At 46.0% G+C, this 16,237-nt stretch overlaps 2 annotated features.

The window, feature by feature from the left end:
* Positions 5,890–6,184: a silencer, noted in NCBI's record as "tiled region #3817; HepG2 Repressive DNase matched - State 20:ReprD, and K562 Repressive non-DNase unmatched - State 13:Ctcf". NCBI's record gives its function as "represses a minimal TATA promoter and a strong SV40 promoter by Sharpr-MPRA in HepG2 and K562 cells {active_cell/tissue: HepG2 | K562}" and the evidence as "EXISTENCE:reporter gene assay evidence [ECO:0000049][PMID:27701403]".
* Positions 11,507–12,308: an enhancer, noted in NCBI's record as "H3K4me1 hESC enhancer chr2:19563065-19563866 (GRCh37/hg19 assembly coordinates)". NCBI's record gives its function as "activates a minimal SCP1, AML or CMV promoter by ChIP-STARR-seq in naive H9 embryonic stem cells {active_cell/tissue: H9 hESC(naive)}" and the evidence as "EXISTENCE:reporter gene assay evidence [ECO:0000049][PMID:30033119]".

The raw sequence follows: 16,237 nt of genomic DNA, 5'->3' as shown, positions 1-16,237 counted from the left end.
CCAGTCCCAATGTTGGCTGAGCTTTTCCAGCCAACACTGGTTCCCATCACTCTTTTCTGAACTATTGCTGTCCTGGGTCTCCAGCTTTAATTGCTTAGAGAATGTAACCATTCCCCTACTATGAACCCACAGGTTGGTGTTAAGCATAGTCTGCAGCCCCACCAAGTGCCACTCAGTACCCTTTTCTCTGCCATCTGGAAGTGGTTCGGAGCCATTCAGAGGGGTCCTCTGCCTGATTCTAACAAGCATTTCTTTTACTTCTCACTCCCCTTTGAGGTCCCATACTGTCTTGATTCTAGCCTGGGCCTCCATTTACATTTTCTACTTCACTTGAGGCACATTGCCTAAAACTTCACTGAAGGGCAGTGCTACGGTTTGAATTTGTGTCCCCTCCAAAATTTATGTTGAAACTTAATCCTCAATGCAATAGTGTTAAGAGGTCAGACCTTTAGAAGGTAATAAGTCCATGAGGGCTCTGCCATCATGGGGGGATTAGTAACCTTATAAAAGGGCTGGAGGAAAAAAGTTAGGCCCTTTTTCTGCTTTCCATCCCTTTTGCTTTATGAGGACACAGTGTTTAGCCCCTCTGGAGAATACAGCAACATGGCACCATCTTGTGAGCAGAGAATGGCCTTTACTTGACACTGATTTTTCTGATACCTTGATCTTGGACTCCCCAGCCTCTAGGACTGTGAGAAATAAATGTTGTTTATAAATTACTCAGTTTGTGGTATATTGTCATAGCAGCACAAACAAAGACAGAAATAGGTGCTGGGAAGTCAGGTTGTTGCTTTAGCACATACCTAAAAATGGAAAAGCAGCTTTGGAACTGCATAATAGGTAAAGGCTGGGGGAGTTTGATGGTGCATGCTAGAAAAATCCTAGGTTGCCATAAATGGCCCATAATGGGTGAATCTGGTGAGGACTCAGGAGATCAGGAGAGCTATAGACAGAGCCTCAGTCTTAGAGATTACTTAAGTGGTCGTGATCAGAACGTTGGTAGAAATACAGACAGTAAAGCCTACTCTGATGAGATTTTAGATGGAAATGGGGGACATCTTATTGGAAACATCTTATTAGAAAGGTCACACTTGTTACAAAATGGCAAGGAACTTGGCTTAATTGTGTCCATGTCTTAATGTTTTGTGGAAGCAAAGCTTAAGAGCAATGAACTAGGATAATTGGCAAAAAGAAATCTCTAAGTGAAGTGTTCAAGGTGCTGCACTTCTTCTCTTGACCACTTAGAGTAAAATTCAAGAAGAGAGAAATGAATTAAAGACAGGATTTATAATCAAAAGGAAGACAGAGCTTAAACATTTGGAAAATTCTCAGCCTGGATATTATTGTAAAGAATATAAAAGCATGTCTGGGAGAAAATATCAAGGGTGTGGCCAAGCAACTGTTTAATGAGGACATTTGTACAGATAGATAGAAGACAGGTGCTATTAATCAGGACAATGGAAGAATGACCTTGAAGAGGTATTGGAGATCTTCCAGGCTGCCACTCCCATCACAGGCGCAGAGTGCTAGGGTCTTTAGAGCAGAATGGTTTCAGAGAAAGGATTCAGTGCTCCTGTAGGACCTTGGGGCTTGCTGCCCCAAGTTTCTGCTCCCTGCATTCCAGCACAGTGCTCCTTGACCATGCCAGCTGTGGCTCAAATAAGCCCAGGTACAGCTTCGTCTGCTGCTCTAGAAGGCACAAGTGGTAATCCTTGGCAGTGTCCACCTGACGCTAACTCTGCAGGCATGCAGAATACACAAGCTAAGGAGGCATGGCTGCCTCTACCTAAATTGCAAAAGATGCCTCAGAGAGCCTTGGGACCCAGGCATAGAACTACCACAGAGTCAGGGCCACCACAGAGAATGATCACTAGGGTAATGCCTAGCAGAGTCATGGGGCTGGGGCCACCACAGAAAGTCTCCACTAAGTCAATGCTTAGTGAAGCCATGGGAGCAGGGCCATTTCCATGGCCCCAGAACTATAGAGCCACCAGTGTGCAATGCCAGCCTTGGATAGCTGCAGGCACCTCACTCCAACCCCTGTGAGCTGCTGCATGGGCTCCACCCAATAAGGCCATGGGGGCGGGGCTGCTGGGAACCTCTGACACCCAGCCCCTGCCCTAGTGTGTCTGGAAGGTAGAACATGGAATCAAAGAAGATTATTCTGGAGCCTTAAGATTTAATGTTTGCCTTGCTGAGTTTTAGATTTGGTAGAGACGTGGTACCCCTTTCTTATGTCCTGTTTCTCCCTTTGGAATGGAAATGTCTGCCCTATCCCTGTCCCACAATTGTATTTTGGAAGCACATAACTTATTTGATTTCCTAGGCTCACAGCTGGAGGGCAAATTTGCCTCAGGATAAATCACACCTTGAATCTCACCCATATCTGATTTAGATTATACTTAGATGAGAATTTGAACTTAGACTTTGAGCTGGAATGAGTTAAGACTTTTGAGGCTATTGGAATGGAATCAGTGTATTTTGTGTGTGAGAAGTACATGAATTTTGGGGGGGCTGGGGGTGCAATGCTATGGTTCGAATATTTGTGTCCCCTCCAAAATTCATGAGGAGAAAGAAAAGAGGAGAAGGAGGAGCAGAAGGGGAAGAAGAAGGTGGTTGGAGGAAAAAAATGTAACAACTTGGAGTAATTTAGCCCACATAACAAAGGAACCTGGACCCAGTATGGGAACTTTGTAAATCTCAGCCCAGGACTCTTTGCAGTAACTTGTCCTTTTAAGACAATTCCATGAAGCATTACAGTGGAAGCCGTTCATCTTCAGAGCTTCAAGAAAGGGTCCTAAAAGCCAGAGTGGTTGAATGGTTGATGAAGGTTTTTAGAGGAGGTGGGATTTAAGTTGGGCCTTAAAGTTTGAAGAAGATTTGGAAAACACACATTCCTGGGGCAAAAGGCACAGGTAAACAGTTGGGGAATGTTAGAATACCCACTGGACACTTGTCATCTGCCTCTAATATCTATCTTTTCCAAGAAGAGGAACTCACAAGCATATGAGGAAAGCAAACTAGCCAGTGTGCCAAATGCATTTTCAAATGAACAGGTGTTCAAATTGTATGCAGCTCATCTTTGCACTAAAACAGTAAGTCAGTAGTGGCATGCGTTCTCGTCATTAAGTGGGGCTGCTGTGAGTGTTCAGTGTACAGGTTGCTTGTTACCTGTCAGCCCACAGCAGTAGGCTGCCTGAATATCTCAAAAGTAGATGGAGAAATGCAATCTGCAAGGACAGTTGAGGCTCCCACAGGAGCATAGAATTGCCTCTAAGTACAAGGCCTCATGAACATTTTACATCCCCTTGGGAAATCCCTCTAAACCCCTGCCTCACTCGTTTCCTGGTACAAGATCCAATAAATCTGCACACTCAGCTTAAACTTAGTGCCAGGCCTCATAATGGAATGATTACATGTGTTTTGTGTGTCAGAGACCTGACAGAAAGATTATACAGTGTAGTGAAGCAATCTTTGGGGTTTTGGCAGGGAAAGAGAGGAGATAAATATGTGTCCAGGGTAGAAAAATGGCAGCTCGCAGAATTGCTGTCTCAATGTCACTCAATCATTCAGCAAAAATGTATTAAGTTTAGGTCAATAAACATTTATCAAGTTCCTCCGATGTGACAGGTATTGTATTACATGCTGTGAGAACTGAGGTGCACAGGACACATCATTTATCCTTGGTGCTGTGAAGTCCACTAGGAGAGCCAGGCATGTAAAAGATGGTTTTAGTGTAATGCAGCAATGTAATAATAGGGATTCTGACAAGGTACGATGGTGGCACAGAGAAGGGAGACTTAGCTCAGCCTGGAGTGTCAGAGGAAGCTTCTGAAGGATGATTCAGGAAGGATGAGTAGTGTGAAGGGGTAGGAATGCTCTGAACTGAGGAAATAATGTGAACCAAAGTACAGAAGTGGAAATGATCCTGGTATGTTCGTGAACTTGGGGGATACGTAAGGGAACAGGAGGCGGATGGACATAAATGGACTAAAAAAAAGAGGCTTGGAATTATTGGAGTAAAAAGAAAGATTGATGAGTGCTGCAAGGGATTCAAAGAAAAAGCACAAACAGTTCTACAAAGGAACTGAGCAGTTGGTCAAATTAACAAGTTAAAGATGCATTTACAGTTATAATAAATACAAGACCCCCTTGTAAAAGATACCAAGCCCAATAAGAAAGTGGTAAAGTGCCAAAGTGAGTTGGAGAATTACATGAAATAGGCTTATAAGAGGGAGAAGACACTAGCTGGGGAGAGAGTTCCAGGAGGCAATGGTATTTCAGCAGATGGGAGGATAAGGTATAAATAGGTAGAAGAGAAGGAGCATGTCATCCCAGGCAAAGAGAACATCCCGAAGTACCTTTAGGTTTAGTCACTTTAGGATCGCATAGGAAGAAAGACCTTAGTGTAACAAAAAACTTGCAGAATGAAAACTAAGGTCTCTGTATATAAAACATTCTAAGTGGGAGAAATTTCTTCCCTAGAAGGTCAGGTTGGGAAGCAACTATAAAGAGAACAACTCATGGATAATGTGTAGATTTACAAGAAAGACAGGATGGGCAATGCTTTTGTAGCTTCAGTACTCAGCTGTGTTCAAGAAGTTTCCTCTTTTTAAACAATCAATAGGAACACTCTGTTCCTAGGTAGAGAATACAAGTATGGTTCTAAATCAAAGAGAATTTATAGAAATCTGCAGTAAGGAGTCTAATATGTCAGGTGCTTAAAGTTCTTCAACCATGGCCTGTTAAAGGGAACAACTATAACTAAACGACTTTACAATTTATCACAGAAACCAGGACAATTGCGTCTGGGACAAAAACAAGACAAGATCCTAGGAAAGCCAGTGTGAATGAGGATCGTCTAGGAAAACTGGCACTCTTGATCTGTGTATCAGTTGGGGTCCAGTCAGGACAACAGAAACCACACTAGGCATTTCAACAGAGAGAATTTAATATAGAAGATGGGTTAAACTGGTCCAAGAAAGCAAACTGGGAGCACTAGGGAAAGGGTGGGGAAACAAAGGCAAAGATTGTGGGTGTCAGCATCTAGAAGCTCAGAGGACGAACCCTGTAGGACTGGGCTCAGCCCTCTGAGGAGGCAGCACATCCTTGCTGCTTCTGGGTGGCTCAGGAAGTCTATAGGAAGTCCATGGAGTAGAGGTTCAGCTCTCTGAGGACAGTTATTGCCCCACTGGGGAGGGCACCTTCCTAGGGCATGATGAGATTGGTTCTGGGAGTGCTGAAAGAAGTTGAAGATTGGAACCAACTGGCGATGCTAAGTGAAAGTCCATCGCTAGAGGCCAACCCCTGGTTGCTGCTCCCATGCCCCTATTTGCAAAATCTAAGAGAAAGTCATCTGACAGAGGAAAACTTTAGCCTGCAGATCCCAGCCCTGGTGTCACACAGCAGAGCGTAGAAATGTGGACTTGGAACTGAGCAACACTGGCGTAATAATGGGCACAGTTGTTCTTATTGTACTTGCAGCACCAGGCTTGAGAACGGTTCTGATTTTGAGGAGGAAATTCTCCTAAAAGATCCTTCAGCTCAATAAGTGATAAAAATCACAGTCTAGTCTGCAGAAGAAAATAGGATTTATCAGTTATTCCCTTTGTGCCACGAACTTTACAAACGTTAGTTCATTAATCACAATAATCCCATAGAACTTGTGTTCATCCTGTTTTTACAGATGAGGAAACTGAAGTTTCAGGTGGTTAAGCTGTTTGCCCAAAAACAAGTAGCTGGGGAGAGGCATGTTCTAGAGACATGGACTAGAAGCCTGTCTCTTTCCACCACCTCTTGGTCTTTCTAGGGAGGAAGCTGCTTCTTTACAGGGCTGAGGCCCATGATCCTGGATGGAGGGGCAATGGCTGGACCACTCCTGGAGGCCCTGGGCCAAGTGACCTCTGCTGGCCACTGGTTTCTGGAAAGCTCATCCCCAAAAGGTTTTCCATCCTTTGAGTTCACACCTAGCCAGACTCAAAACCTAAAGTGATTTATTCCCACTAAATGCTGGCCTCACACCCATGGGAAGAAGCCAAGACTTTGTTTGAATGAGCTCGCCATCTCTTGGAGAAAGCATCACGCTGCAGCCACCCATAGCTATGTTTTGGAGAGAGTGTGTTTGTGTGTCTGTTCATGTATTCATGTGTCTTATAAATTCAACCTTACTCAGTAGGATGGCATTCTTGGATAATAGACCTTTCAGCCAGAGGGCCAAAATTGCAAAGACAACAGTTATTTTTTGGCTGAATCAAGTTCTTCAGCCTTAGCTGAAGACGAAGGCAAATTGTGCCTGTGTTTTCTGGAAATGCTGATGCTGAGATGGGACCTTATTGAGGAATTCACCAAGGCCCAAGGGAACTGAGAAGATAAATGCTACCAGGCGGCTGCAACTTGAGCAAAATTCAAAAACAATAGAATGTCAACTGAAGATCATAGAGACTGTGGCAAGTATGACAGAAAGCAAGGGCAATGGCTAGGTCCTGAGACCAATGAGGATGTGGATAATGGGTGCTGGCACTACAAACACTGCTTTGAAAGAAGCTTGAAGAAAAGGAGGCAGATTCGGCACTCCCTACCCAGGACCCCAGCTCATCACTGAGGAAGAGGGAAATGCAGCCAGCGGTTTGGCAAACTGCCCTCCCCAAATACCCCTGTTCCAGCCTTCACAGTGGTTTCCTGAGCAGCTCGAGGCGGGCCAGGTATGGGTTTCTTCTGTCATGTCAGTGTTCTCACAGAGAGGGCTTTTGGGTCCTTTTGGAAAGTGACTTGGCTGGAGCCACACTCCTGCCAGTGTGGCAGCTGTTACCACTTATACCAGGAACATCTGGCTTGAAGATTGCAGTAAAAGTGACACTTGTCTACAGAGAAAAAATGTTGAAGTATACATTTTGGACATGAAGAAATAAGTAATGACATTTAATGTTTTCATAAAGCTGCTACACTGAAGAGCAATCATCCAAACCCCAGGCCCAGGCATGGGTGTATCTGTCTATTGCTGTGTGCCTGCAGGTCTATGAAAGGCTTTGTACCTGGAACATCACTGCCTGATGCAAGCTTTGTCCTCCCTCTGAAGACAAGCAACAAAGGGAGGCCCTTGGTAAGACCTCTTCCTTCAAGATCTAAATCACAAAATTGAGGAGCAGGGAGCAAAATGTAAGGAGTACCCACCAGATGACAGGAAAGCCAGCTTTGAGTTGCAATGCTGTTACTGGGTAAATCACATTGCCGGGGTCAAATTTCTCATCTGTAAAATGGGAGTGTCAAAGATGATATGTTTAAGGTTCCTCCACATTTTATATTCTGTGCTTTTTAAAACAGAGGCAATTGCACCATTCCTATGCCAAGCCTGTAGGTTAAACATGATTCTTTCCAGATCCTGCTATTACAATGCACATCCCCCTTGATGTGGTGATACTTGCCACCCCTGACTCAGGGTAAAAGAGAGTGTCAGACAGGGGCAGGCTGGAAGTTTTGGGCTCTTGGAGAGGAAGACAACACCAAAAGGGGCAGATGATACTGCCAAGACCCTGTCCTGATTTCATGCTGCCCTGTAATACTCTTCACAGCTATGTGCTCAGCATGTTGCCTTAACTTAGGCATCTTCTGCATTTGATTTTAAAGAGCAGAGGCTGAAGAGAAGATGAAGCACACTTTCAGTAACTAGCTTCTGTTTGGTTGGTAGAATGTCAACTGGCGATGCTATAATGACCACAGTGAGGCTGGCAGAGATTTGGGTAATCAAATAAGAGTGTATATTTAATAACTTTTTGATTTGCGAGTGATCAATCCTTTGCATAGTTCAATGTCTTTTGAATTAAAACATGTTATCTCTGCCAAAATTACATGTGAACAATGCATTCCTAATGTGCAATTATCATCAATAATATGTATGTTACTGGGTAAATGCATGGCTCACCAAAGAAGATCCTATAAGCCCTTTGTTATTTTCTCTTCTTCTAGGAGGTGCCAGGCTCCTGCTCTGGTGCCAGGAGAGGGGAGTGACCATGTGGAAGGGCCAGCGTGAGGTTGCTGGCCAGCCCAGACTGCTTACTGTCAGGCCAAAGCCGAGGAGGCAGCAGATTTAGGGCTTGTGGTTCTGTAGGGCACCCGCGGTTTGGTGTTGCAATCTTTCTAAACTTTAGTCTACAGGCTTTTGGTATGATTTTGTAGCTTTATCTCTCAGTTCTAGAAGCTGAGATTAAAGCAAAGACACTGAACAGAGCTAATGCCTGGGCCTGGAGATCCGAATGGTGTACACTGCAAACATTCATGTGCCTACCTAAGGGAGCAGGAGGGAATAGGACTGGGACATGGCCTGGGCTTCTGCATTTCCAGCAGGCTCCCAGGTGATGCTGATGTCACTGGAAGACCACACTAAGTAACCAGGGTGCTGCCATTATGAGCTTGGGTTTTGGAATCAAATACCTAGGTTTAAGCCCTGGCCCCAGACTACCTAGTTATGTGACTTTGGGACAAGTATGTAATATTTCCAAGCCACAATCTCCTCAGACATAAAGCAAGAATAATCATTATCTTGATGCTTCAGTTTGCTAAGAGGATTCGTGAAGCTCATGCTGGGTCTCAGGGCCTGCCAGGCTCTGGAGAGGAGTGGGTCCTTGGAAGAACTGTGTCCCACTACTGACCTCTGAGGCTTCCTTCCACTTCCAGGACCACACTCATGAGCCTAGGCACAGCCTCAGAAAGACTCCTGGGCCTCAGTGCTTCCTTAAAACAGGGGTAACAGAATGGCATCTCCTGTGGGAGGTGAACCACAACAGAGCCACATTTGCTCAGGAGCCCTGACTCCTCTGTGACAGAAATCATAGTTCATGGGAAATTTCTTTTAAACCAGAGCCCTATATACACTGATCCTAAGGAAATCTTTATAAACACTTTAGAAGACATGCGAACATGATCTCATCTACACATATGATAGGTGACAAAAATTGACAGAACTCATATACAACACTTTATGCTACTGTTAAAACCAATAGACATGTAAAGTGAGTTTTTACCAAAACAAAGTTGAGAAGTACTGTTAAAATAAAAGCATTAAAAACAACAGCAACAACAAACATGTTGCCTACTGCCTAATGTCCTGACCCCAAGTGACACAAGAATAATCAGCTATCCTAGTGTGTCCCTTCAGCTGTCTAGACTGCTTCTGTGTGAGAATAACTGGAAATCCTATGAGAAAATACGGAATGTGCAGGGTGAAGAGCAATCAAAGACTCCTCATTGAGCTGGTGTCACCTTCCTTCTCTTTGAAGCTTCTGATGATACTCATGGAACAAACTATGGGTTTAAAAAAAAAAAGCCCACTAGTGACTTTAGAGGCCTCTTTTCCCTCCTCTTTCCACATATGCAATCAACTCTCCAGCACTAAAGGTAACTTCCACTGGCCTGAAACTACAGACCCCCTTTGGCTTCTGTTTGACCTGTTTTTGGAGGGCAGCTTTGCTTCTGGGTTCTCTTCTCTTCCTCTGTGTTTTCAAGGGAGCTCTTCTGCAAAAATGACTTCTCTTTGAACTGACATGGATATTTTTCCAAGACCTAGGGTGTCCACTCACTAGGATAAATCCACATGAGGGTAGCATGGGAGCCTCTCCACGATGTGACTGGAAGAAAACCCAAGCACCTTGCCCCCACATCACCCTTCAGCCCCCTAGTAGCCAGTGCTGTCTTCAAGATTAGGAGCTAAGAAAGCCTTTCAGGAATATCAGGTCTGGTTCTTATCTCTTATAGATAAAGAAAAAGGGGTTTACAAGAAGAAACATACTGAAGTGTATATAATGCTTTAATAAAGAGCCATTTCTTTACATCTGAATAACTTCAATCCTCAGGATTCTCCTTAGCAAGACCCAGACCCTACTGGGTAGAATCGTTCTTTACTAATGGTTCTCAATATGTATGTGCTCTAAAGACCACTAGTGCCAGAGTCATCAGTGGAGCTTTTTAAAAATGCCAACTCCCCAGCCCACTGTGGGCCTCCTAAATCAGAGTGCTGGGGATGGGGCCCGGGAATCTGCATATTGACAAACTCTCCGGGTGATCTCGTGGCACAGGACTTTTGACAAGCCCCTTCCTAAACCACTGACAACTTAACTCTCCAATACCACACAGGCAGGATCTAGCTGACTGACCCGCCCTTGAGCTGAACTGGGGTATGTGCCCGGCCCTCCCTTTCCTCAGTGGGTGGCCCTTGTACCAGGTTGGCTAAGACTGAAATGCCCTATCCAGGCATCCTGCAGTGGCACTCCTGCTCCTAGTCACTTTGCTGCCTGTGCAGGACCCTGGGCACTGAGAACTAATCTCCTTTCCTATCTGTATGGATCTGGTAGCCTGGCACAGCTCCCATCAGCTGTCTTCTCTGAAAATTAAGAATGAACTATCCTGACTACGATACATGGCTTATTCCTCCTTAGATAATCTCCTGAAATGTTTGTTACAGAATGAAGTTTTGGCAAATGAAGTCATGATTCCAGAAACTCTCTATCTGGAATAGATAGATTATAATACTTTAGTTTTAAGTTTTCTCTCCATTTCTTTATTGTTGACATGTGATATGAAAACCAATACTTAAATATACTAAACCCGACCATTGGTCATTTTGAAGTGAAAATCATATGCTAATATATATTTTCTTTTTTGTTTTGTATCTACTTCAAGTGTTTCAGCAAATGCTTTTCTTTTCCATGGAAAGGTTCTCATGTAGGGAATTGGAGATATGACCAGCAAATTCATTTGCCTGGAGTCACCTAGGAAGAGAGTTATGGTGGGAACTGGCATTTCAAGTGTCCCCCCACTTCCAGCCTAGACCATGGAGGAAGAATATCTGTCTTTTGAGGGTGGCTAAAATAAGGGATTGTGGTTTTCCGCTGTGTGCAGAATCCCCACTACATTGTGATGTAACTCAGATGCACAAATATGACTCTATGACTCCTCCTCCTGAGTCTAACTTCCTAGAAATCAGAGAAGGAAAGATTTATTTGTATTTATTTATTTTTGCTGATGGGGTGGTCCCCTCCCAGTTCACTGTATTCCCTTTGTGGAACATTCTCAATTCCAATCTGTCATCCTTCCATCCCTCTCATCTCCCCAAAACTGATGCTTAAGTTTAAGTTGCACTTGGTAGAGGAACACCAGGTATTAAAGCCACATCCAGTAGGATGCCTTTCAAGTTCCCAGGAGCAATAGCATCCCTTCTAGTTGGGCCACCGCCTTGGGGGCTCAGCACCTCTTCAGGGTGACAGTCTGAAGCCAGGAAGCACCCCTGGTATAAACACTAAAGAGGCAGAAGCACCTGGCCTCCTTCTATTCAGTAGGTAATTCTACTCATCCATTAGGTGAGGCACAGCGCGGCTTTGCATCACTTAGGGAGGGTTGGTGAATGTAGTAATTCTTTGGAATGTCCAAGTTGGGTCCACTCCCTTTCCACCCCTCACTGCAAGCTCAGGATAGGGAAGTGGGAGGCCCTGCCTCAGAGGAGCAAAGTGAGTGATGGGCAGCAGGAGGACACAGCCTTCCTCTAAGAGCTTGGAGCAGGTAGGGAATCTGTCTTTCTCTCTGCCCTTTTCTTGCTTGTTTTCTCTGGGTATTTTGCTCCAATGAGTGGACCTGACACTTTAGGAACTCATTCTATGCAATGTGGCATAGTCCTCTGTAGACAGAGAATTAACCAAAGAGCTTGTTAATAGGTATATTCTTAGGATTTCTCTCTTCAGGTCTCTATCTGAATACCTAGAGCTATGATGACAAGGGAGGGTCCTGCTAGAATATTCTGTACGGAAATCCGAAAAAAAAAAAAAGGAAGCAGCAGAGGAACTGGAATCTAATGGTCTGGGAGGAAGGAGAGGATAGGAAACCTCACGTGTTTCAGGGAAATCGATTCACGGAAACAGACTCTCTCTCTTCTTCCCGCGCTTCTTCAGAAAGCCAGGATTTGGGATCCGAAGCAGGACGTGCAGACCTACGAGGGGCTGCGGACGGAGGCACCGGAGGGCACTTCTCACCTCCGGGTGTGCCGGGAGGGGCACGCGGACCGAGCTTGCAAATGCAGGATGGGGTCCCAGTAGATCTTTGCTCATCGTCTTCCCAGGACCAGAAGCGAACGGCGGCAGATAGTTGCTAGGAATTTCGGATTATTTAAAAACAAACAAACAAACAAACAAAAGCCCTCATCCATCTGAGAGCAAGGACGTCTGGTTTGGGGCAGGGAAACAGAAACCCCGTGGCGAGAAGAAATTCCTCCTCCGTTTGCTCTTTGGAAGGGTAAGCGTGTGCGTACTTTTAAATGAGTAGCAGCAAACTTCTAACTGAGAAAAGAAAAACTGAAGGACTAAAATACTCTTGGGCAAAGTGAAATAAGGATACTGTGGGTTTGCGAGTTTTCCAAGAAGGGGTCCCGAGATGTGGCTTGCTCGCCAGCAGGGGGCACGTTTTCTTTAGGATTGCGTCCCAGAATCTCGAAACCTCGCAGCCGGACTCTCTCCGAGTCCCATCGCCGGAAATCGCTCTGCAGATAATAACCCTCCGGTGTCTGGAAATGTTTAATTACCGCGAACTCTCCTTCCTCCAGCGCCACCCGCCGCCGGTGCAGCCCGGAAGGACCCAGCGCCGCGGGTGCAGTAGGTGGCTCTATCTGCAGGATTCCACCCTAACTATTCACAATTCCGTTCAAACTACTGTTCTCCAACATCCCCGGCTGATTAGACATTGCCTTGTTTCTAATGCACTTATTTACACCTTGGAAAAAGGAAAAGTTCATTAACCTTAGTACATAGATCTGGATGTGTCTAAAATAGTCTGACAACTCAAATTTGTGTAAAAAGTAAAAACCCATGCCGTCTTTTACATACATTTTACATTTGATCTTCACAACAGAAGACATCATCATTCCATTTTCCCGATGATCGTATGCCCATGCAATTCCATGCTAGTATTTATGCTTCATGTCACACATATTTTTACAAACCAAAGGTATATGTGTGTGTGTGTGTGTGTGTGTATGTATTGTTACATTTATTAAGGTGAAAGAGTTACATTTGTGTGCCCGTAAAGAACTTACCAAACGGGAACTGCCTGGAAAAACAGTTCACTTTCCCTTTCAGTTTTGATACTGTAACTTGTCTGTCGCTGTCACAACAAAAAACACCCGCTCTTGCGTTCACCTGGCATCTGTTCTCTTAAGGACCCTGGATTGCATTACGTTATCAGAGGTGTTATCTGAACAAATGTGCGCAGGAGTCCTGTTACCTACCTCCCGTGCTTAAAAATCCTTCCCACCCCCAAGCTGGATTTTGACCTGATTGACCGTAATGGTTCCAGAGGAACTATTGAGCCATTACTATCCATCATCTAAATGAATACAGAGGGACGCCTAAATCTCCAGGTTATTTGAAAGCCCTGTACATGCGTAAGGGGGTTTCTAACGAGCAGACCCCCAATTGTCTGCAAAGTAGTTACAGGAAGTAGTTGCGTTGGAAGCAAAAATTCGCAAGTGCTGAGCAAACTTCATTTGAAAAAATGAGGACTTTTTTTTTTTTTTTTAGGCTATGGGGTGCGGAGAGGTGGGGTTCATTTTTTTTTGAATCCAAAACAACTCAAAGCAATATAGACCACATTCTAGTTAATTTTCTGGAAGCTGCTCAATTTTCACTCCGAAGACAGGCTGGGGCGCTTTACCAAGGAGCAGGAATCGGGAGAGGGGCTGGGGTTTGGCGTGGAGACATGAGCAGCGGGCCGTCACCACCGCAGGCGTGCCCAGGAAAAGGCGGCAGCAGGGCTTGCTGCGGGACTGGGTTCAGTGCGGTCCACAGCCCGGAAGCCCGGGCAGACGGAGGGATCGCTCCCTTGACGGACCTCACATCGACTGGCGGGTTGTGGAGCGGAGCGCCGGACGGAGAGCTGGAGGCCTGGTCTCTACTGAGGGGACCCTTCTTCTAGGCTGCCCGGTCCCAGCCGAGTCTGGGACCACTCCGGCGCCCGCGGTTCCGCCCCGAAGGCAGTGAGCGAGAGAGCCAGAAAGAGTCGCGGCGGAGTTCGCGCCGGCTGGAGTCCGCAGGCTCCGAGCTAGCAGAAGCTGCAGCCGCGGTGGCGGAGTGCGCTGGACTCCCAGTAATGAGATGGGAGTTTTGTCACCTTCATTGGGTTTCCAGGAGGGCAGAACTGTTGGGTCCTAGCTACCGAGGACTTTTACCAAATTCGAAACGTGACGTCCTCGCGAGTCCTAAACACATGTAACCTCGCTTAAAAAGTACCCTTGTTGCTCTTAGGTGTCCTGCGTCCTTCCCTTGTCAATCCATCCAAGCGGTAGTCCGGGCACTGCGCAGCGACGCAGGGCCCGCTTAACGTGATCAATTTCTCTTAAACAGGCGGGGGATGGGATACCGCAGCACCGAACGGCCGGAGGGATTCTTAGCTTCCTGGGCTTCTTCCTGCCTGCCCCGCCCAGAAGGAACCCAGACTTTGGTTGGCCTCCTGTGGAGGTCAAGGCTAGGGTTTGGGGGTCACCCCCTTGGGAGCTCAGAGCGGGATGGAGGACTTTTCAGCTCCTAGCAATTCTTGAATTTCGTTATCCTGGCTTTCTGAGGCTGTGCATTGTCAGCGACCTAGGAGACGCCTCTCTGAAGCCAGGCTTCTGAAACAGGTGAGCCCTTGTGGAGAGCCATCGTCACTAGCACTCAGGTGCACTCTGGCCTTGTCCTGTTGTGGCCTTGCTGACCAGCTCCAGGCAGAGGTGGTCATGATTTCTCTGGGAGGCACAGCCTGGGGGACCAACACCAACCTTGCTTCCATCTACTCTACATCTGCTCTACAACCTGCTCTACATCTACTAAGTTCTAGAGACCTGAGTCAGGATCAGTTTTCAAGATAATCTGGCAAAGCAGTGGTGAAACAACTCGGTTGCATGTTTCTTCTTTAAGATCAGGAACACTTTCTCTCCGAGAGCTCTTTAGGGATCCTACTACTTAGGGCTTTCTGGAAGTTCTGAGGCATATTGGCCAAGGGCCCTGTTTTAGAAAAGAAAGACAAGGAGAAACATAAAAGAAGCCCAGCTGAGTTATGAGGGGTGCATAGCAGGAGTTTGGGTATTTACACCCCAGGAGGTTCCATCCCACCTGAATGACCAGCCACTATTCCTAAGTGATCTGGACAGCCAGAGGCCCTATCGTGTGGGCATTTTTTTTACTTCTTAACTTTTGCTGCTGGTAATGGAGGTTACCCAAGCTTTGCTTATTTGGAGAGCCTGAGGCTGGAACAAGCACACTCCCTGTGCCCAAGGTGGAAGCCAGCAAAGTTCAGCATTGCCCTGTGTAGACTTTCCCTCCAGGCCTTTCCTTGCCCTTGAAGCTTTCTGTTCTGGAATCTCTAGGAAGGAGGTGTGATCTCAGCTCTCTTCTCTTCCAAGGGTTCTTACTCTAGCAAGAATGTCACTACATCCTAGCAACTGCTAAGATTCCAGGAGCATGGACAAACTTATGTGAATCTCTTACTTCTGCACTAACCTGAGGCACTGGGTAAAAGCTGTTCGTTGGAGCAAAGATTGCACCCCCTCTTACTCCTCCTCAAACAAGACGAAGTTACCCAGGGGTTAGAGGCTAGATTCTGTTCTAAAGGCCTGGGGATATAAGGAAATCCTCTTTCAACTATGCCTTTGAGGGAGGGGAGTCTTCATTACCATCTCCCTAGGTCAGGTATTACAACCTTCTTCACCTCCCAAGAAAATCAGATTAGCTTTGCAAACCAAAGCTGGAGATAGCAGAAGCTCCTCGGGAGAGAAGCAGTACAGTACTTAGGGACCCACGGAATCTAGGATCCAGCTCCAAGAGTCACTCAGCAGCAACTCTGGGGCAAAGGCAGAGAGTGCAGTTGTGTGATCTGGACCCACACAAGTCCCAGGAAACCAGTGACTCCTCCTTGCCAAACCCAAGGCCTGGAAGGGTATTCCAGAAAGGCATTAGGGAGGGATTGGGCTGGGGTCAGCCGGAGGTCAGCTTTCAGAGATGGGTAGTCAAGGGGGTGATGGTACCCTCCATAATGCCTAGGCAATGAAGATAGAATTTTTAATGTCCAGAACTCTGATTCCTTTCCGATTAAAAACTCCACCTGAACCAGCTCCTTGACTCAGAGGCCCTGGAACTGACAACTTTGCAGCTCGTCTAGCTTGCCAGTGCGGCTCTCTAAACTCTGATCCATCCTAAAACAAATATGTAAGTAGAGAGTGCCACTGTGC

Source organism: Homo sapiens, chromosome 2 (assembly GCF_000001405.40).
Source record: "Homo sapiens chromosome 2, GRCh38.p14 Primary Assembly".
Lineage (NCBI taxonomy): Eukaryota > Metazoa > Chordata > Mammalia > Primates > Hominidae > Homo > Homo sapiens.
The sequence above is the reverse complement of the archived record's forward strand: the minus strand, read 5'-3'. Positions and strand labels throughout refer to the sequence as shown.